Raw genomic sequence first — 23574 nt, forward strand, 5'->3', positions numbered from 1 at the left:
ACGTGTGAATGTTTTCATGGCCACACCAGAAGACCTATTGAAGATGCCAGACACTTGCGCCTATGTTAAGAATCCCCTTTAATGTAGAATTTTTCAAATGTCCCCTGAATATAGGTGAGTTGTATGGAACACTCAAGTACCATGAGTCGCAAGGCTATTAAGTCCTAGTTTTCTGCTATGGAAAAGAGCTCCTAGGAAACTTCTAGAAATTGTTCTATAATTGCTGCATTCTTGAAAAATTCAGCAACTATCAAAACTGCATTTCCTCTCCTGTCTCCCTGCTCCAGTAAAAAACATCCACACAAAACACGCTTTGTGTTTATATGTTAAATGGATTTACATTCTAGGGGAAATTAACTATAAACAAGGTTTTCCTCTATTTGAATGTGCAGGGGTATGAGGAAACACTGTTTACGCATCATGAAGAGTCTAGTCGCTTACCAACACACGTTAGTGCCAGCAGTGTCCACCTTTCATCATAACAACCAAAAATGCCTCCCTTGTTCAATTCAGAGAGACCATATTCCAGCAGAAACAGAAATGCCTCAGGTAAGAATTGTAACATTAAGAGAACATATGCAAAGATCTCAGTGCAGTACTTTTGCACTCAACAAGCACTAAATAAATGGTAGCTATTAGTGAATAATGACAATTCTATATTTATACAGAATTGCTCTTACAAAGCTTATATTAACAGCTTAAACAGAAATTGTAACATTTATAGCTTAAAATGAATAAAGCTATGTGTGATACATTAAATGATTTAAATTTTAAAAACTGTAAGAATTAATGTGGAAAACTGGTTTTAATTTGAGTTATTTCACATACACAAATGTTTGCTCTTATACACATTTTATTGCCCATATGATAGAGGTAGACTTTCTTCTAAAACAATCATATTAATGATTTAAACAAAAACGTGAGTTTAATATGCATTATTATTCATGCTTCATAATAATCACCTGATCTCTTCAAATTTAACTGTCACACAAAGCTCAGTTCCTTTTCATGGCTATAAATTACATTTCAGAACTTTGTGTCTTTATACTGCTAATAAGTCATATTTGATAATCCAGCATATAATAAAAGGATCGTGTACAACATTAATTACAAGGTCAGTTAGATGTCAATGTAGAAACTCATTGAATAGTATTTTTGTGGAAGTAGCTAGACTCTATTATGTTTAAACTTCACCATAATGAATAATTTGTATCAGACTTAATTCACGAGAGAAAAGTGAAAGTTCTGCGGCAAAGTGGCTTTTTCTCCCGAAATAATGTTAATAATTGAAGGCTTTCAAAATTTTTTCCTGCAAATTTCAGATGTGATTAAGTGTTGACTTTATAAAGGCTGGAAACGTCAAACACTTTAAAGTAAAATTGTGTTTTCATCTTAATTTAATGATGAAAAACATACTTATGCTGTCTAATAGATCTAACCAAGAATTTCTGATTCATTTGATTGGTCTACCTGGAAAATAATAAAATTAATAAAGGAGAGTATAAAATGCATATTCTGTAGTACATAAATGATGTGTCTTTTAAAATGTCAACTGAAATAATATTTTTTAAAATGAAGCCATTTAAAAATGATTTTTAGTGTAAATAAGATGCCAGAAGATGGACAGGTATAAAATTAACCTCTACCCATAACCATAATTTCATAGTAGTTAATGAGCTCAACTCAAGAAAAGGATAGAAGTCTAGTCAGGAAAAGGGTAATGCAAAGTGAAACATTAAAGTTAAATTATTTCCCTCATTTTTGGTAACAGGTTATTAAAATAGACTTGAATGGGTTTTTCAATATGAAACACTAGGATGAGCTTTCTGTGCTTCAGTTTCTTCATCTGAAGGAGAGGCTGTCTGAGTAGGGGACCATAAGAATCCACTTCAGCTTCTGTAGTCTATGATATATCTGCATTTTTATCAGGCATTTATTATTATTCCCATGTAGCAGGGAATGTTCTGCTCCCTCCCTTGAGCCAGGAAGTACAATTTGTATCAGGATCTCGAATTATGTTTTGCTCCATCTAATCCCAGTCATTTCTCTACATATCTGTATTTTTCACCATACTTAATAAAATTATAGGGATTTCTTCTTGTTCTACCACTTCACTTCATGGTCTCCACTTGAGTAATGCAATCAACTGGCAGGTACAATTACCATGAGGCAGAGGGAAATGTTTCTTAGGACCCAGGCAAAACTGATTTATTTTCCTTTGTGCCAAATCTTACATGTACTTTTACACCAAGTTAACCTGCTTAGGCAAAGGGAGGAGCCATCTTTTTCAAGCTCTGCAATGATCCTTGAGAAAGCAGAAAAGTCAATGGGATCTAATATTTTTATGGTGTGAGTTCCATCTGGGGACATTTGTATGGGGTTGAAGAGGAATGCATTTGATGAGGCAGTGACTGTTTGATCTTAGGTACCACGTTCCTCAGTATGTGGGAGTGTAAAGCTTCATGAACAAATTATTTTTAGTTGAGCTAAATGGCTATGAGTTGATCATTAATGATTAGGAAAAAGAGCCAGGATGGAGGATTACGCTCTTGGCCTTGAAGATCTCTAAGGCAGTAGAAAGAGTAATAAGGAGTATATTAGGGTTCCTTAGAGAAACAAAAGGAATAAGAGAATATGTATACACACACATATATAATTATATGTGTGTGTGTGTGTGTGTGTGTGTGTGTGTGTGTCTCTGTGTGTGTTTGTATGTGGTAAGAAATTGGCTCATGCAATTATGGAGGCAACTATGGAGACTGACAACTCCCAAGGTATACAGGGTGAACAAGCAAGCTGGAGACCCGAGAGAGCTGATAGTGTAGTTCCAATCGAAGTAGAGCAGACTTGAGATACAAGAACAGCTAATATTGTGGTTAAAGTCTGAAGGCAGGAAAAAGCCCATGTCCCAGTTTGAAGGCAGTCGGGCAGAACGATTCCCTTTTGCTCAGGGGAGGGTCAGTGTTTTTCTTCTATTCAGGCCTTTAATTAATTACATGAAGTCTGCTCACATTAGGAAGGGCAATCTACTTTACTCAGTCTACCAATTTAAATGTTAATCTCATCTGATAACACTTGCACAGAATCACCCAGAATAATGTTTGACCAAATATCTGGGCACCTTGTAGCCCAGTCAAGTTGATGCACAAAATTAACCATTACGGGCAGTGTTGACAGATCAAAGTAGTGGTAACAGTAGGTGCAAAGTGAACAACAGTATCATTAGAATGTCCAGGGACTTTTTCAATTCCAGAAACATATTGACTGGGTTTGATGCCCCATAACTTTACAAGTAACAACTATTCCACATGATACTCAATGCTCATATGACTGCCTTGGAGGAATAATTGACATTCTCTACCCCCTGTCCCAAACTTTAAAAAACATTTTGTGTACTGAAATGATTTAGGATGAACTGTGACCGGAAACAAGAAAATAGTAACTCACGGGGTGGTCCAAGCAAGATGACAGCCAACTTTTTGTTCTTTGTTTTGTTTTAGATTCTTAACGCTTTAGTGAAGTTGGATCCACATTTTGATCATTGCAAATATTAGAAACAACTTACATGTTCAACAAGGTAAGATTGGTTAAAAAAAATCAGCACAAATACAACAAAATACTATCAGGTCATTTAAAAATGTGAAAGAATGAAATTTAAGAGCAAAGAAGAATCTCATGCTACAGAGATTTCTCTTACAAAGAAAGTCATCTAAATTCTCATGGATAGAATGCAATAGATTAATTAGGAAACAGTATTTATAGAAACAGGATTGTTACTCGTTAAATTGCCATAAAATTAGAACAAGAACAAACACTAGCTTAAAAGAGAAAAGTGCCTTTTCCTGAGGACATGTGATACAATGATGGCATTTACAGAAAAATGAGTTAATGATACTGAGGGACTGGCAAAAAGAAAGGAGGCCATTTTCATGGAACCAAGGAAAACTATATTCAAAGGTGGTATCTTTTCTCTGCTATTGGTTTTATAATCATATACCTATAGCTACACTTAAAAATTAAAATACTTACAGAAAATATAACTTTGATATTGATAGTCTGAAACTCTCTACCCCAACCTCTTCTCTTAATGGATAATTATGTTTAAGATGGTTTTTTAAATAACGTGAGGTTTTTTATTAGTTAAGAACACAAGGAGCATGTTAGAATACACTGCATGTTGTGAAGTTCAGAAAGCCTGTTATAAAAGAGCAGTATCTTATTGCCTTTTCATAAACATACGAATGTTTAAAATTCATATTTATATAACAGGAAAAAAGACTATTAGGAAATGTTTGAACATGAAAATGTATCAAAATGTTAAAAGTGGTTTGCTGGGGAAAGTGATATTAAAGAAGATATTTATAATTTTTTCTCTATGCTCATCTATCAGCCTATACATTTTTCATAATAAACCAATATTATTTGCATATTCTGAAAAAAGTGTTATTTACTTGTTAGCTAAAATTTCATGTTATTTGATTCAGACTGTGTTTCTTCTGCTCAGTTTTTGGAATGCTCTCTCTCTACACTCAATCTATCTGAGAAGAATCAACAGCTACAATACAATTTTTTTTTTGCATTTAGAGACTCTATGCGCCCAGAATAATTCTGTGATATGTATTTCTCTTTATCTAAAAGTCTATATAGACAAGGGGCTCTGATACATGGTTTCTTCTTTAAGCCACCATCGAACATGCTGCAGGAAAGTTAATCGTGGGGATATCCAACAGAGACCTGTATCAATAACATAAGAAAATGGGAAATTCACCCGATACTTTTATTTCCTAGGGTGAAAAAGAAATTAGAGCCAGGTAATATCTGGTATAAAAATAGGTAATATCATACAAAATTCATTAAAGAAAATCTGAGTGCGGAAATTACCAAATCACAGAATATTAGAGCTGGAAAAGACATTGTACAGATACAGAAATTTGAAAAAAAAAAAATACAGAGATGAAGTGATCATTCTGCTGTCCTCACAGAAATGCCTGCTACTTCTATTGAATTTTCCTCTCATCTTCCTTTAAGCATTTCTGGAGTGCGTGGTGTGTGTAATCATAAAGTTTTGTGTTAAATGCCAAAAAGGAGGAAATCATAAAAGAGCGGTGTAATTTTTCTATTATATTTTGATAGTCCTGCCCTCTGCATAATTATTTTGTTTCTAATGTCTCCAACATAATCTCTTAAACATTTCTTAAAATATTTTTTTTATCCTAAATGCGAGCCGACTAAGGCAACTTCTTGACAAACACACGTCAAATAACACCAACATCAAAATCTAACCATTCACATCCATGAGGTAAAGAAAACCAAATTAACCAGTCATTATTTTTCAATGGCTATGACTTTTATAATAGTACAGCTTAGTTTCTATGCATCCTCCTATATTCTGAGATTCAGCGTTATACATTTTCAATTTGATTTTGCCAGTCAAATTTCATTTGTTCTTGTTTGATTGGCTGTCGTTTACCTATTAGGTGCTGCCTTCAATTCATTTTTACATTCTCTGGGGAGACAACCTACACACGAAGGTTTTGCCACTTTAAATGTTTAATTCTGCAACACGTTGCAGAGTAAAATCTTCCTCGATTTATCCTATAGAAGTTTCCTGTGACAATGCAAGTGAAAAACCAAAACTCAAAGTGTGGCAAGTTGGAGCTAAGGCTGATCCTGGAATCAACTAGTTTCCACAGTAAAAAAAGAATGAGAATGAGACATAGATTCCCCACTTAAATCCAATAGAGGTAGTTTTCACTCTGTTATCATGCAACAGTGTGTGATAGTCAATGTTGAAGTCATATAAACAAGTTATTTGGTTTTAGCATTTAAAATAAAGGAGTTCTATCAATTTGTGGTAAACACAACTACCCATATTGTTCTCTTCCTTTAGACTCTAACTGGAGAAGAGAGTATATTTTCTGCCTCTTTTCCCAGGTAATAGCATTTATAGGATGAGGAGCTGGCTAATGGCTTCAGTTCCACATGGCTAGCTACACTAGGGGGAAAAAAAAAGCATAATGCTGCAAGCAAAATTCCGATGTAGTCACAAGAAGGACATTCTATTTCCTTTTGAAAAAATGTGTTTCAGGTTCTTGGGTAAATCTGGTGGTAGAAAGTTTACCACCTATAATTCTGTAATGTGATCCTCCTTTATAAAATTGTTATTACTTGTGGCAAGAAAAGAGGAGGCAGATGGTACTGTGTCAGATGCTGAAAAAGAAAGTGAGCATCTCCTAGAATATTACAGTGGAAGTATCCAACATTGAAGGCAGATCTCTGGAATACAAATTCAGAAGTAAATAAAATAGACATTCTACAAACAGTGACCAAATAAATGTCTGGACTGTGAAACAGTTTATCCATTGTTTACATAAGAAATAATGCGGATTATATTGCATAGCTAGTATGTACCCCAAACCAACAAATATATTTTAAAGGTCCATCAAACAGCCCAATAAGGTTCCATTTTCACATACGCATGCAGCATTTTATAACAGTCCTAGGATATGTGTATATACAGAGGGATGGAAAAAATACAGTTTTAAAAGACAGAAATTTACCCTACATTTTATTGCCATCTGGGCAGAAACACACGTTCCATTCTTTTCGTTTCTCCGTGGCTTCTCCCAAAGAGAAATAGGCCTGTTTCTTTAAACAATTTTTTTATAAGCGCTATCCCTTCTTGAAGTTGAGTATAGCATAACAAATTTACTAAAATTTTTTTCTTAAGGATAACAGTAGAATAAAGAACAATGAGCCACTTTGTTACAGAGATAAGCCATGTCATTCTTTTGGTTTATAATGTATTTGCCCAAAAGTATTATGTGGCTAGCTGATAGCTGCATAGACTAACTACAGCTTTTTACTATTTGTGATACACCAGGTTCCCTTTAATCAAACTTCAGTTATCTGTATCTATATTCTCCTTAGGATAAGCCTAGATTGTCTAAATTTAGAGCTTGCTACCACCCCAGACATTCTTTCTTTTTGGTTATCATATCAAGTCCCAACTGTGCAGCCTGGAATTCAATGTCAACCACTTTCCATACCTCACACAATCCCTGTGATTCCATCAGCTCTGACCGAATCATAATAAACAACAGTTTATTATGATGCTTCAAGTCCCATCTCTGCAGCAAGTGCTTCTCCAGGTGATTTAATTACCAATAATCTTTTTAAAATCTGAAACCCCAGTCCCGTTTTTGCCCATTGAGCAGAGGCTAGGATTTATTATACAGAGGATATTGTTTTATTATCTATGGCAATAAATTATTCTCTTGTTACTCTATAGTTATATATTACATTCTGCAAACAAATTTCAGATACCTCAAGGGCATGAATAATATATTTGATTAGCTGATTTATTGGCATAGAATGCATTTATCGAGCTTTAATTATGGGCCAAAAAGTGTACTACGCCCTGAAGTCAGAAAGATGACAAAGAAATGTTCTTGGCTTTCAAGGAGATCCCGTCCCTCGAATTCATTCTAATAATTTTTAGAAGAGAGTTAAAGAAGAATGCTCTAGACCAGTGGTTCTCAAACTTTAGTGTGCATCAAATTACCTAGAGGGCTGATAAAAATACAGGCTGCTCATCTCCACTCTCCAATGTTTCTGATCAAGCAGGTCTGAGATGAGGCCTGAGGATCTATATTTCTAATGAATTCCCAGATGGTGCTGATGTTGCTGGTCCAGCGAAAGAGTGATTTAGAGAATGGAAAGGCAATTAAATAGGCAATGCAAAGACACAACGAGGTAGAGGGCCAACTGTATTCAAGTAGCAGCGGGAAGGTCATATGGTGGGTTTAGAGGGTGCATAGGGTGACCACAACATGGCACTTGGAGACGAATAGATTATAATAGGTTTTGGACATCATGGTAATGGTAAGGAATGTAGATATTAGAAGAATCATCATCATCAGAAATTTGTAAATAACGGAGGGATGTGATCACACCTGGGCTTTAGCTTTTAGAAAGAAAACAATAGGGCAGAGGATATGTCTACACAGAGGATTGTATCATACTGATATTTAGACCACAAAGATGAGATTTGATTTTCTTTCAACACTGAGGGCTAGGTATCATGCTTCATATTTATGGTCTGTCTCAGCTTTCCTCACCTGGCCAATTTTAACAACCTCCTAGGGAAATCACAGCCTCCAGTCCACCTCCTCTCTCCCTCCCATAATGGCAAGTAGATATCTGGAATCCCGCTATTAAATAGCATCAACATCTGAATTCATGTGTTTCACCGATTTCTCAGGCTATTATAGCAGGAGAAACTCATGTTGTAATTTTACTTATCAGGAATTTGAAAGCCAAATTAGTTAAGTAAATTAAAGTAACGCAGCTAGTTAACAGCAGAGTCAAAACTAGAGCTCAACTATCTCAATATTGTGTTTATTAGTATAATAAACGCATATAAATAAATGTAACTATTTAATTAATTGACAACAATATGAATAGTTACGTTTGCACCTGCACAGGCAATAATAACTAATGCACAGCTGTGACACCATCACCTATGAGACGTATCTGTTTTCAGAAATATTAAAAACAAGGTGCATCCAGTAGGGTGACTATAGTTAATGACAATCTATTTTGTATTTCAAAATAGCTATAATAAAATACGTGAAATGTTCCCAACACAAAGCAATGGTAAATGTTTGAGGTGACGGATACAGAAATATCCTTATTTGATAATTACACATGGTATGCATGCATCAAAATATCACATGTATCCCACAAATATGTACAATTATTATGTATCAATTTAAAAATGCACATCTTAGTTGCAATAAAATACAGCAAACACAGGTGACTTTTCAGGGCCTCGATTTCGTTCATGGGAAGAATGAAAGATGACATGACTCTGATGACTTTTTCCATGCCCTATTTCCAGGCAACAGAGTGTCCTTCTAAACCAGAAGAGTTCAGCTCTAACACAGAAGACTATTATAAAAGTTAGACTCCTTTGAGAGCATTGGCTGTTCTTTATTTTTGTGTATATCCTTTCCTTTCTCGATTTCACAAGCAACTCCTGACGATTCTAGGAATTTATTGTCCAATTTTAATTTCCTGATCATAGTTATAGCTTTGAAGTTCATTATCAAACTTTGACCTCATGCCCTCATTCCTACCTCTCAGACACAAATTATATTATTACAGGGATATATATTAATATTTCAACATTTCTGCCTTTCCTAAATCCAAATAAAACAATAGAATACTGAATTAAATTACTACGATAATTTATCATTGTTTCTAATATTTTCTTGTTTTTTTTCTGAGAATGTGGTTATTGAATAGACTACTTTTTTGATTATGCAAGGCTCAATGTCAACATTTTGTTGCTAAATTATAACATTAAGTAATCCAGATCACACAATATTTTTCTTTAGCTAAGAAACATGTTTAACTTCCAGCTACAACATTTTCTCACAGAATAAGAATTACATTGTTTGTATTTATCTTTAGCTTCAGCACTTATTGCAGTTATAAAATATGTTAATATCATGGGCATAACAACTGAAAGCGTACTTAATTGTTCAACCTTGGGGACCACATAATCTACATCAGATTTCTATGGGTTTTTCATGTCTCTGGTTATGATTGCACCTTTCCAATTTGTCTCTGTGCCTCAACTCTCTCTCTCCCCTTATCCATCCTGTGTAGCCCTTCTAAAAAGAATCTTTGAATATATACTTTTACTCATTTTATGATCGCCTGTTCCTCCAGCTAGCTTCTCTTTGACCTCATTGACTCAATTCACCTTATGCCTTTCCCCTAATATCTTGTGTCTAATCATGTGAGACTTCTTAATATTTCCAGGGCAGACCGTCCTCTTTTGTCCTTTCAAGGTTATTCAAGCTGTTGTCCACACTTCTGATGTTCTCCCTCTATAATGACAAGCTTCTACTCAGCCTCCCAGATGAGCTAATCTACCACCTTCTCCGTGAAGCTGGGTCTTACGCTCTGTTGGAGAAGAGACTACTCTGATTCCTTCACAGATTTTACTGTACCTATCTTGGGATACTATAATGATTTTGATGCTGTTCTACCTGACTAAACCCAGCTGTTACTATTTAGCAATGGATACAACATAGTAGATACTCAACAAATGTCTTTTAATTAGTGCATGAGCAGCAGTATCTGCACAGTGAAAGCCACTGTCTGTATATCCTCACCTCCTACTACATTTTAACCTACCACAAATAGTTTTTTGATGCATGCTTCCAGTGAAAATGTCTTTTATCAAGGTCAAGTATGAGCTCCATATTGCAAAACCCAATGGTCTATTCTTTTGTGTTTGTCTAATTGTATTTTCAACATTTGACACTGTTTTTGATTCTATCATGAAGGACTTTCTTCATCCCACTTGCCTGGTTTTCTCTATAAATCACAGAAGTTGCTTTTGTCTCCTTTGAGTATTTTTTTTCTTCCTCCTGTTTTGAAAGGTGCAGTCAATTCTCGGGCTCTTTTCCCAAACTCTCCTCCTAGAAGACTTCATCCAGTCCCATGTCTTTAAAAACCATCTAAGGGCCTATGACTGCCACATTATTTATTTATTTATTTTGAGACAGGGTCTCACTCTGTTGCCCAGGCTGGAGTGCAGCGGTGTGATCACGGCTCACTGCAGCCTTGACTTCCCAGGCTCAAGTGATCCTTCAGCCTCGGCCTCCTGAGTATCTGGGACTACAGGCATGTGCCACCACACCCGATTAATTTTTGCGCGCGTGTGTGTGTGTAGAGGCGAGGTCTCGCTGTGTTACCCAGGCTGGTCTTGGACTCCTGGGCTCAAGTAATTCTCCTATCCTGGCCTCCCAAAGTGCTGGGATTATAGGAGTGAGCCACTGTGTCCGGCCAACTCTTACGTTATTATTCCAGTCACAGTATCTGTCTTCAGCTTCAGACTGATCTACCCAACTTTCTTTCCAGCATTTCCACTTGGATATCTAATGAGACTCTGATAATAAGAGAGACTCTTGATTTCATCACACCTTGTACCCTAACTTTTTCCTCCTCCACTTTTCCCCAGCAAAGAACTTAGAAATAATTCTCAATTATTCTCATACTTTACATCTAATTCATCACAGCAAATCCTGTCAGCTTTGTCTTTAAAATGTATCCTAAATACCAGCTCTCTAACTGACCCCACCACTCCACCCTAGTCTGAACCACCTCTGATGTGGACTAGTAACGTGGCTTCCTGTGCTATCTCCCTGTATTCACTATTGCTTCCATTTCAGTCTAACCTCTACTCAGCAATGATGAATGAACTCTTTGAAGAAAGCAGATCAGGTATCTCCACTCTATTTTTCTAAATTCTTCAATGATGTCCTGTCAAAATTATGAAAGAGTTAAATTCTTTTATCACGGCCTGCAAGATCCCGTGTGATCTTGCCCTTGCCTATACTTGCACCTCCTTCCTTCCCCACCTTCTCTTACACTGGAATCCTTGCTATTTGTTGGCTAGGTCAAGTCTCTTTTGAACTCAGTGCCCTTGCCCTTGTTTCCTCTGCCTGGAATGTTTTTGCCCAAATTGGAGAATATCTGCTCTCATATCTGCTCAAATACTGCCCCCTAGAGAAGCCATGCCAATCCACCCAATCTAAACAAGTCCACCTTCAATATCATTTTCTATTCCCTTAACCAGCTTTATTTCCAATATGGATCACTATCTGAAATCATATGTGTATGCATATAATAAATAATATCATTTATTCTCTAGCTCACTACTAGAGTGTAAGTTCTACGAGACTAGGGACATACTTATGTATTCTTGTATCCCAAGTACCTGGCATATATCATGTACTTCACAAATATCTGTGGAATAAATGAACACATTGAAGAGATCTACATTATGCCATCGTGATGTAAAAATTGTTTTGAGCTAAAGCCATTTGAGGATCAACAGATACGGGAAGGGGCTTTTTCTGTACTCCCCCTATCTGCCTAAAAGCAAAGATTTCTGAAATAATTCAACTGTTTTAAATCCTCCTTTAAGGAAAGTTTCTTGCACCAGGGGTAAAGAGTGACTCCTGTCACCAGAGATGAGAAGTTGTCGCTGGGAAAAGAAAATTACATAAACAGACTTTACTAAAACAAACATTACCTTTCATTAGTTTCTTTCATATTTCCCACCAACTTTGTGGCTTGAAATTCTAACACTCTTCTTTTCAAAACCCTTGTTAAAATAGTACATAAGCCCCAAATTCTAACTTCATTGAGCTATGTTTTCTGTGAGCTCCCACATACTTCTCTGAATAAACTTTGTCTTTTCTATTGCCAATCTATCTGTCGTCAGTTTAATTTGCAGCCCCCCAAGTAATGAACCTAAGAGGGGAGTGAAAAAGTTTTTCTTCCCTGACAACACAAATGGACACATCAATAAATGGATAGCTTGAGTAAATTTCCTCATGTTTCTAAGCCTCACTCCATTACATTTTTATTGATCACAGCACCAGTGCCAGACGACAAATGGGAATTCTTAAGAGAAAGGGCATTAGAAGTGTTAAAAGGCAACCACAGAGAGCTGTCACATGGAGAAATGGTCCATGCCATCTTCATTTGATCTCACTCCTAGTTGGGAGTCATCAGAATGGGGAACGGAGATATCTTTCAGCAAGGAGGTCCCAGTGATATGATTAATAAAAATATGTCAAAAGACACATGAGAATAGAAGTTCATTTGATACAAGCAAAGGTTATTGTTTATTCTACTAATACGGTTCCACAGAATCCAGGTCCCAGCAGTGCCCCCTCTTAGAAGGACAAGCCTCCCTAGTTTTCAAGTCTTCACAAATGTGGCTAGCTGACAAAATACCATCTGATCAAGTCATAATCTTCTCAGATCCTTCATAAATCTTCTTACTGCCATGCTCATGTTTTTAACCCCTTCCAACCTCTTCGAGCTGACATTAAGTAGCTTCTTTTAAAAACCAGCAGAAGGTTCATGAATGCATATGGGAGAAGAGTGAATTTTAGGTCAAATTCCCAGGCTATGATTTAACCTTGTCGCAATTTGTACTCTCCCAAATCAGAGAGGAAGCCTGCCTACAGGGCACTTAGAATCTAAGAAAGTGCCTTCGGTGGAGAAAATATTTAACCAATAGGTTTGTTTGGGGGATGGTTTGGATAGGGATCTTCTATATGGACCTAGAAGGATTATCATCAGAGACAAAGAGTATGTGAACTTTCTGTTAATGCCCAGAGATGTGACAACCAGAGAGGCTGGGCAGAACAGAATCTCAGAGGGCATGTGGAGCAACTGAGAAGACTATAAAGGCATTGTGTTTTCTTACCTCAAGTTCACGTAAGGCTTATAACTGTAAAATCATCTATTTTTGGATTATCCATGAAATTCTCAATCCTAGGCTAGCAGTTTTCTGCAACTTACAAGCCCATGCCTCTCCTACATTCAAAGGTTTCCAATAACATTACACCCAGGGACAAGAAGTATATTATTTTATTGGCCTGTGAGGTGGGGGAAGGGGACAAAATTTATATAATAAAGTATCCTATTTTACACAGTAAAGTTTATTGCTTTACTTTATTAAACACTGATCACTGATGATCTGTTCTATAGCTTTCCCAAAACCCTGTGTTTCTGGATTTTCAATTATGCAGAGAAAAAAGTGAAATCTCCTGAGCTGGCAGCTCTTCCCCTCCATCATAGTTCAAAAGGTGACAGGGAATAGCAGCCTACAGAGTGAACAGAACATAACTCTCTGAGCCATGGTTAAGCTCCAGCAATTTTGGTGGTCGCAGTAAACACTGGGCTAAACCCAAGGAACTTCTCCCCCTCTATGTGGCTTTGGTTATATATTGATAACCAAAGCTGATATTGCTTTGGTTATCAAAGCAATATCAGCATGACCTGGGAACTTATTAGAAAAGTAAATTCTCAGGTCTCACCCCACAGCTACCTTATCAGAACTCCTACGAGTGGGGCACAGCAATCAGTATTTTAATGAGTCACCTGGAAATTTTGATGCAGGATCAAATGTGAAAACCATCGCCCTATAGCAGCAATCCCCAACCTTTTCGGCACCAGAGACTGGTTTAGAGGAAGACAATTTTTCCATGGATCAGGGGCGGGTGGGGTTGTGGGGAGAGGTGCGTGGGAGGCGATGGTTTGGGGATAAAACTGTTGCACCTCAGATCTTCAGGCATTAGATTCTCATAAGGAGCACACAACCTAGATCCCTCGTGTGGACAGTTCACAATAGGGTTCGTGATCCTATGAGAATCTAATACCGCTGCTGAGCTGATAGAAGGTGGAGCTCAAGTGGTAATGCTGGCGGCCCTGCAGCTCACCTCCTGATGTGGGGCCCCGGTTCCTAACAGGTCACTGACCTGTACTGGTCTGTGGCCCCAGGGCTGGGGACCCTTGCTCTATAGTGTTAAAAGCCAAAGGAAAGCGGGCAGATCACTTGAGGTCAGGCGTTTGAGATCAGTCTGGGCAACATGGTGAAACCCTGTCTCTACTAAAAATGCAAAACTTAGCAGGGCCTGGTGGCGCCAGAGCACCTGTAATCCCAGCTACTTGGGAGGCTGTGGCATGAGAATCACCTGAACCTGGGACGCGGAGGTTTCAGTGAGCTTAGATCATCCCAGGGCACTTCACCTGGATGACAGAGTGAGACAGTTAAAAAAAAAAAAAAAAAAGCCAAAAGGATTAGAGCACAGAGGATTGGCAGTCTTGAGAACTAACGTAACCCTATTTGCAAGGTGACAGTATGTATATTGAACTGTATCAGGTCCGCAATGCAGCCTTTCGTATAACTAGGCTCCTAGTGCGGTTGTATGCTAATCCTAGTCCTAAAACCAAGATTAGGCAAAAACAGACTTGAGATTCATTTGAGTCAAGGTCCCATTACTCAGTAACTCCTGAGATGAACACAATGCCCATATATAACTAGGATCTCCGGTGTACCCTCATCTTCTGATACTGCCTCCTTCTCATTTGCCTTGTCCACTGTGATGTGGCCCTTTCTGTCTTCCATGTAGATGCATAAAGCCCTATACCAAGCACTGCAAACATATAGCTGAGAAGGTCCTCAGCCTCCAGAAACTTACTTTTGTCTTAACCACATCTGATTGATGTTTATCTATGGGTCTTTATGCGAACTGTTTCTTCTTTCTGAATTACCCTTCCCTGCTTTCATTCTTCATTTTGGGACTGATTCCACAGCCCTGGGTGGCCATCACACCCTGTGGTCACCCTTTTCAGTGCACAGTCTTGCAATTACTTGATTATACAGCTGACTTGCCACCTCAACTAGGAGCTGGTTGAAGGGAGGGGCTGTGTCTTTCATCTCTTTATCACCAGCATATTGCACAGTTCCTACCTATAGTTGATAGTTGATAACTTTTGATGAATGAATGAACGAGAATCAGACATTAAATTTTCAGAAGGAAAAAACAGTTTATCCTTAAACAAATGTGTCTGGATTCAGAAGAATCATTTTCCCTTCGACTTTATGCTCACAAATGTGTTGGGATTCAGAAGAATTCCAACCTTTTCATTTGCCTTGTCCATGTTATATGGTTTCTTATAGCCTAGCTAAAGCAGTGGTTTTCACAGCATGATCAAGGCCAGCAGCATCAGCATCACCTGGTAACTTGCTAGAAATGCAAATTCTGGACCTGCACCAAAGTTACTGGACCAGCAACTTTGAAGGCTAGCCTAGCAATCTGTGGTATAGCAAACCCTCCAGCTGATTCTGACGTGAGTACTACTGGCCTAGAGTTGCTTCTAAGACTTTGGTATAACTACCAGTCAGAATCTAGGTCTTCACACACAGACACTGATTCAGTAGGTTTGGGATGAAGGGCAGGCAGTCTACAGCCTTTATCAAGCTGCCCAGATGATGCTGAAAGGTGTTTTATGGATTCAGAAGAGTCTCAACACATTCGTGAGCATAAAGTTGAAGGGAAAAAATGTTTAATGAATTTGCCTGGGGTTTTGTTACTTCTTCCACTCCTAACTTCATTTATAATCAAGGCCCTAAGCAGCTGGTTTCCACTTAACCTTACCAAACTCATACAAATTCAGTTGGGATTATTTACAACTTCCAGGGTTACTTGCAATTGTATACTGAGTCTCCAAGGTGGTTAATGAGCCACTTTGGATGATAACAACCACCTTGGCTGATAACTAAATTGATAGGTAAGCAATGTATTATAATAGCAACCAAACCCTTGCTTCTCTGATTTACTGACCTGTCACAGATATGGACCAAACCAAATTTCTGAAATTCTGGCTGCTCAAATCCCAATTGCAACCTGATTGAGGCATTATTAGTATTGGAGTTTGAAGTAAATAATACAAATGCATCGACTGAAATAGGTAGAGAACAAGCCCGGAAGTGCAAACGTTCGTTAGAAGTTACTGATTTGTGCAGAACTCTGTGTGGCTTGGGCAGTCACTTCTCTTTGTCAAGTAAACATACAAAACGTTTGCTCCTTCCAATTGCAATGGTATCCATGGTAGATACGTGCAATGCATTTGAAAATAATAACTTGAGATCGAAAGACAAAAAATGAATACGCTAAGGAAGTGTGGCAGTCACAAAGAGGAATGTATCTAGTTCTTAATCAGGGCAGACCTCAATATTCACATTTTTAGCACAAAAGCCAAAAGGGAGGGTTGAAATTTACAAGTCCCTTCATCTTGGTTAGGCTCTGTGGGGAGTTCTCCCTGCAGCTGGTGGGCTGCTTCCTGCTTCTGATGTCTCCACCTGCAGGTGGTGGCACTGGCCCCTGACCTCCTGAAATAAGCCTGTTGATCTTCTCCCACATTATTCCTGCTGCCTGTGGACTGCTGACAGGAAGTTAGGGGACGACAAAAAGTCCCTCAGTAAAAGACTCGATTAAGTGGCTAAATAACGTTTCCTCCGAAAGCTTTCTTTTCAAATAAGGTTTTCAAAATATGTGTGCATATATATATATATATATATATATATATATATATATATATATATGTATTCGGTTTTATTCAGAATGCAGAAGTGTATCTGCGGAGAGCAGAAGGGCATTGGAAGGAGTCAAAAAAAATGTGTGTGTGTGTGTGTGTATACACACACTCACTATATGCCAAAAGGAAAAGCAAACAGGAGAAAAAGATGTGTTGAAATCTTGACAGAGCACAGACAACAGTGGCATATTTGAGTTAGAAAATAAACAAGGGTGTGCATTTTAGAATTCTCAGATTTATTTGATTTTTGTCCAACCACTACAAAGTAAGGAGTAAACGTGAATATGAGGGGGTAAGAGAAAATAAGTTGATTTAATGGTGAACTAGGGACAAAGTCCTAGTGTTTTGCATTTGCTCTGTGACCCAGGTCTTCAGCACCTTTCCTTGGCAAGTCAGGATGATTTTTAACTAGCTCCTAACTAGCTTTCTTGTGTTAGTTCTGTTTCCTTCGAATCTATAGGCCAAGCTGCAGAAGGGGGCTTTCTAAAATTCAGGCCTGTGAAGTCATTGGCCAGTATAAAAGCCTTATATGGTTTTTCCTATAGCGTAGCTAAAGCAGTGGTTTTCAAAGCACGATCAAGGCCAGCAGCATCAGTATCACCTGGTAACTTGCTGGAAATGCAAAATCTGGACCTGCACCAAAGTTACTGGACCAGCAACTCTGAAGGCTAACCTAGCAATCTGTGGTATAGCAAACCCTCCAGCTGATTCTGATGTGAGTATTACTGGCCTAGAGTTGCTTCTAAGACTTTGGTATAATTACCAGTCACAATCTAGGTCTTCACACACAGACACTGATTCAATAGGTTTGGGATGAAGGGTAGGAGTCTACAGCTTTTATCAAGCTGCCCAGATGATTCTGTAAGGTGTTATCTGGATTGCATTTAGAGAAATGCTGGCCACAGTCTAAATAGTATCTGAACCACTAAATACATCTCTCTGTGCCCCCTGCCCACCCCATCTGTGAAATTTTTTGAGATCATCTTGAGCTCCCCGTCACAGCACAGTGCCTGCAACAGAACTGACACATTCCTCTCTAAATGTTTCTGAATAAATAAACTGCACTTTGGCAGACAAATTGCAATCCCTAATGTGAACCTTTTTTCTCTTATCTAGACAAATGAGGCAAAACTACTCTGACAGACTTCAGTGGTAGTTTTTAAATTGTTGTTATTTAAGGAATACACTACTCATAAGGACTTTTCTTCTCACATTGAACATTACAAGATAAATTAAAATAATTTTATCTAAGTAAATGTCCTGACACTAAGTTTAGCCAGACTTCACCCCTTAATCGGTTTTCTAAAACACAAAAAGAAAACAAATGACACCTACATGGAAATTTTACTTTTGAAAAGCAGTGAAAGAAAGCAGTGAAGACGCTTTGACCTTGAGTAAGATTACAGCCTCTGGTCCCCAAATGAGACATGTGTAGTCTTACCTTGTCTCAGGTAAATGTGTGTTCATCTTGTATACATACATACCACATGAATACAGGAAGGGGAATACTAAAACCTAGTAAGGTGAATGGTTTTGTGAGCATGCATATATATATATATATATATATATATATATATATATATATAAATGATCAAAATTGATGCTAATGAAAAAAATCTGTCTTGTTACAGGATGGACCTTTCTTCCCGTGGTTCTTTAACTTGAGTGTGCGTTAGAATTGCCTACAGGGCTTGATCACAGATCTGCGGGCTCCACTCTCCAAGAATTTCTGTTTCAGTAGGTCTGTTGTGAGGCTCAAGAATGGGCATTTCTAACCATCCCCGTGATGCTGATCTGGGACCCACACTTTGAAAACAACTGCTCTACTCCATAGGGGGAAATGAATGTGTCAGGAAAAAGGTGCTCTGTTTCTGAAGAAAGAGAAACATGAAAGGTTAGACAAAGAATATAAAGGTAACTGAAATCCTCGAAGTAAAATAAATTCCACCTCTTAACTATACCTATAATCCTTTGTTTCACAGGCCAGCCTAAATTTACCACTTTATCTTATAGAGTTGTCTGTGTGAATCCGCTTTCTTATGATATAGTGAGCTCCTTTAAACATTGTGGCATGCTTTATTCATCTTTATGTCTGTCATAGATTAGAAGTAGTAAGTGTTCAATAAACATTTGTTGCGTTAAAAGTATTAGAAAGGAAATAGACTGTACACTTTATTCTCGATTGGTAGAAATTTTATGGTGTAATCCTAAGGTAAGGTACACTATTGATTTCAATGTTTGAATTTTTTATTTTATTTTCTATCTAAAACAATTCACATGTGTAATGAATTAAACATCTGTCTTTTGTGAGGTGATACTTAAAAAATACTTAGAGACACTTAAATAAGGAGCATAATGCTGTAGAAATACCATATATGGAATCTATTCAATTTAACAAAACTTTATATTGAGCTTCTACCACATGCCTGATAGTATACTCAATGCTGGAAATATCTAATATAATGATGTTAAGAGCTTCAATTTATTGATTAGTTAGCATACAACAGGCAATCTGCAAGGTGTTTACAGCAAATTATGCTTATTTACTCATCGCAATACCTCTACGAAGTTGGCTTTATTAGCATCTCCAGATTAAGGAAGAGGAAATCAAAGCTTTAAAACATTAATTTATTCTAAATCACACAGCTAAGAAATGACGGAACCATGATTCGGACCAACGTTGTCCGAAGCTAGAGTCTGCTTTCAACAGCTCTGCTGTATTGACTCATTCCGAAGACAGGGTTAGCCCTTAGGAAAGCCACATGCAAAAGAGACCCAATTACTTTCTACTGTTTAAACCTGAGCGAAACTAGGGTTACGTTTACCTAGGTCCAAAGTCCTAATAGACCCCAAAGGGGAGCTCTTTTTTGGATACATGTCAGGAACATGTTAAGGTACAACTTTTCATTCATCAATTCAATAAATTTCTCTTGAATATTTGTTGTGTACAATTACTGTGGTTCTATGAATTCAGTGGTGAGTAAGTAAAGAATGCCCAATATCTAGTGGGTGACACAGATAATAATCAAATCCTCACACAAATAACATGTAATTACAAACTGAATTAAGGATGAGGAGAGGAAAATAAAGAGCACTAGGACAGCATGCAGCAAGAGGACTTAATTCAATTTGTGGAGGGGGTGACCAGGGAAACCTTCCTGAGCAAGTGACAACCGATCAAGACCGGTAAGACGGGCAGGAAAACGTGAGTGTGTGGAGTGGGTGGAGACAGTGAGCAGATTCCCTGACAAACGGAATAGTACGTGCAAAGGAAAAAGAGATTACAGCACTGTAGTTAGAGAAATCTAAAAAAAAAAAAAAACAAAGTTAGTGTAGTTGGAGTACAGAGAATGAGCAGATGAGAGGGATAGTAAAAAATACTGCCAACATAGCAAAGGACAGACTATGCAAAGCTTTGCACACCATTTTAAGGCTAAAATTAATGTGAACCTTTTGAAGGAGAAATCTAGCCAAGGCTAGATTTATATTTATTAAATATCACACTATCTGTAGGCAGAACAGTCTGGTGGGTAGGGGGGTTACTGTGTTAATTCCAATGAGAGACGATGGTAGCTTGCACTAGGATACTAATGGGCATAAAGAAAAACTGTAGAGATATTGAGAAGGTTAAATCAGTAGGACCAGGTGACAGATTTAATAATGGTAGTTGACGGACAGTGAGGAAGAGTGAGGAAAAAAAATCCAGACTTTTGGCTTGCTTAACTGGATAGTGTCATTCACTGGGATGGAGGAACCTGGATGTGTATCGGGTTTGAAGGACAAGGTCGAACATTCAGTTTGGTCCTTGTTGAGTCTGAGTTGCCTCTGATACATTTAAGTGGAGATGTCAATTAGGCAGGGGGGTATGTATATAAGACTAGCATTCAAATGAGAGTTTCAGGGCTGGAGATGTAAATATTAGAAGCTTTGCAGAAACATTAGTTAGGTTAAATCAGGAACATAGATAAGATTACCTAGGGACAGAAGACAAAGTGAAGAAATGAAAGGAGATATCATTCCTTCTTTGGAACCTTGTGTAGTGAATCAGAATCAAACCCTGTTTAATTTTAAATTACAAAGCCAATCTAACCACTCACTGTGTAGATGAAGAGAACTGAAGTCCTGCGAGTTTTATCCATTTGCTAGATTGTAAAAGTCAAGCTGGGGCAAGAACTCAGGTCTTCTGAGCTGCAGTTTAATTCTCCACCTTTATCGATATTTCTTAAAATGTGGTCCTGGAACCAGCAGCATCAGCATCACTTATACACTTAAAAATGCAAATATTTAGGCCCCATCCCAGATCTACTGAATCAGAAGCTCTATGGCTAGGGCTCAGATGCATATTCAGGTCAGAGGGCTCCTGCTCTATTTTGTGTAATCCCCTTCCTGAGTGTTAGCAAAGTGATGGGTTCACACTTACGGGTAGAGAGGTAGCAGGAGGAAAGTGAAGCTGTTCTTGACTCTGTGCCAGAAGAGATTACAGAAACTGACCCTCTCGAACTCAACAGAAGCTGTAGACCACATTGGTACATGTGTTTTATAAACTACAATCATGCATGCCGTTTCTGTGCTTTGCAAAAGAGACAGATAGTGGTGCCAGGGGAAAGGACATTAGCAGTCCAAGTTGATTAGGTAAAATGGTCTGACACAGTGAGGCAAAAGTTGATTTGGTAAAAACTTGACATAGACGGCACTTTCAACCATCGGTATCCACTTAATAGATGTAAACAGCTATTTTCACGACACAAACACCCACACTTACATCTTTAGAACAGTCTCAGCAATTCTGTATGCTTGCCAGATAAATCTCTGCTGCAAATTATCCTCCAGCCATGAGATTTAAAACCAAGAGTTTCTAGTGTTTTGTTCCTTTGAAATATGTAACCTTAACCAGATGTTTATACCCTGGGTCACAAAAATCTAATTGAATAGTTCACTTGATGTGTTCGCACAATTAAGAAACTCTTCTTCCTTAATAGGGGAAGAGGGGCAAATTCATATGTTTAATTTTCAAAAACACAGAGCGTTCTCTGCTCTACAACAGTCTATCAGCTAGAAATGTCTATTAACTGTCTCTTCTCTACTTCATGAGCACAAAGATAAGTTGTGGTTTTAGGGACCCTTTGGGGGATATTAAGAGATCTTGAGGTAAATGCTAAACCAAACAGTTTAGTTTGTATTCAGGACAGTAGACACGTTTTATATACTATCATCCTACTTTAACATTAATTATATTAAAAAATTCTTCTTTTAACTGGGCTATCTAATTAATAAGGCCAGCAACATTCCTTGACCAATATGCTTGTATAAGCTTAGTTTATTTTTGTGTATAGGATTTATATATTCAATTGTACTGATGAAAAAAGTATCAGGAGCTTCTGATCTTCCTTTGTGACAGTGAGAAATACAGAACTCTCAGCACTTAACAACTCTGTCCAAACCCTTGCACTAAGACTTGACTAAACTCTAGTATGGTTTCTAGCCCCAGAAGGCCATGTCCCTAGGATGACCCTAGCCTTCCCTTAAGTGCCTGCTTGAGAAAGCTCAGTGCTGCCAGGAAAATTTAATGTTTGTTCTAGCCAACACACATCTGTTGATAGGACTCTTACCTCCGTTTCTTAGAACATTTACTCAAAAGGGCTTACAATTGTGAACATGTAGCTCTTGGAAATCAGAAGTGTCTCTCACTCAAGGACCTGAAAGCCATTCTTTTCAAATGACATCATCAAGAAGGATAAGTCCTCTGTCTCCTGTTCTCTGTGGGAAGATAGAATCCTAACTTCAATAACTTCCAGCTAACACAGCTGGCCTAATCACATTTACACTGTCCAGCCCTTTGTACTTTTTTACTTCTCTAACTCGAATGAACCCCCACTCCTTCTCCCTCCTTCTTGCCTTAAAACAACCAAGTCGCCTCTGCACAAATTAGAATGGATCTCAGCTCTCCCCTAATTTCACGAGGTATTGAATAAAATCTGTTTTTACCTCTTTAATATCCAGCTGTGTTTATCTCTGACAATATATATGCTCTCAAAAGCATTCCGATAAATAAATTTTCCTCAATGATCAAGCATAATAAAATACATCAGCTTTGTTAAATCACCTAAATACTCAAACAACTCTACCATTAGTATGTGAGGTAGCTTTGAAAGTATTTCTAATTTTTCTTTCTCTTTAATATGCCACAGGAAGGGACGAGGCATTTATTTGAACCTTCAATTATATGCTATCATAGTAAGAAGATGATTGGACCATAAATGCAAAGACATGTATTTGCAATTGCATTGCTCAAGAATGCCAGTTATGTCCATTATCCATCCCTTCAATGAAACAAAGACCATCCATTTTCTTTTAGAGGTAATCACTACTGTCCAATGCAAGACACAGAAAATAGGCAATTTGGAAGTATAGTAACTAGTTAGCAATATTCTTTTAACTTTCTATATAGGTATACTTTTTACATGCATTAATTTCACTGTAAAACAAGTAAAATTATATGATTAAAAAGAAAACCAGCTTCTAAGATTTTGAGAATGCATTGCATACAATGGTCAATGTTAATCTAGTCAACAAAGAACTGTTCAATAAAACATG

At 37.7% G+C, this 23574-nt stretch overlaps 1 protein-coding gene across 21 annotated transcripts in view; it reads right to left on the bottom strand.

Moving 5' to 3' along the window:
- DMD (dystrophin) overlaps positions 1–23574 on the bottom strand; it is a 2220167-nt gene that overhangs the window by 985456 nt on the left and 1211137 nt on the right. Inside the window, exon 45 of one of the 21 annotated variants that reach the window (XM_017029330.3) lies at positions 18578–22737. Coding sequence (XP_016884819.1) covers positions 22693–22737 — 45 coding nt within the window. The 3' untranslated portion in view covers positions 18578–22692. 21 annotated transcript variants of the gene reach the window in all.

The sequence above is a fragment of the Homo sapiens genome, chromosome X (assembly GCF_000001405.40).
Source record: "Homo sapiens chromosome X, GRCh38.p14 Primary Assembly".
Lineage (NCBI taxonomy): Eukaryota > Metazoa > Chordata > Mammalia > Primates > Hominidae > Homo > Homo sapiens.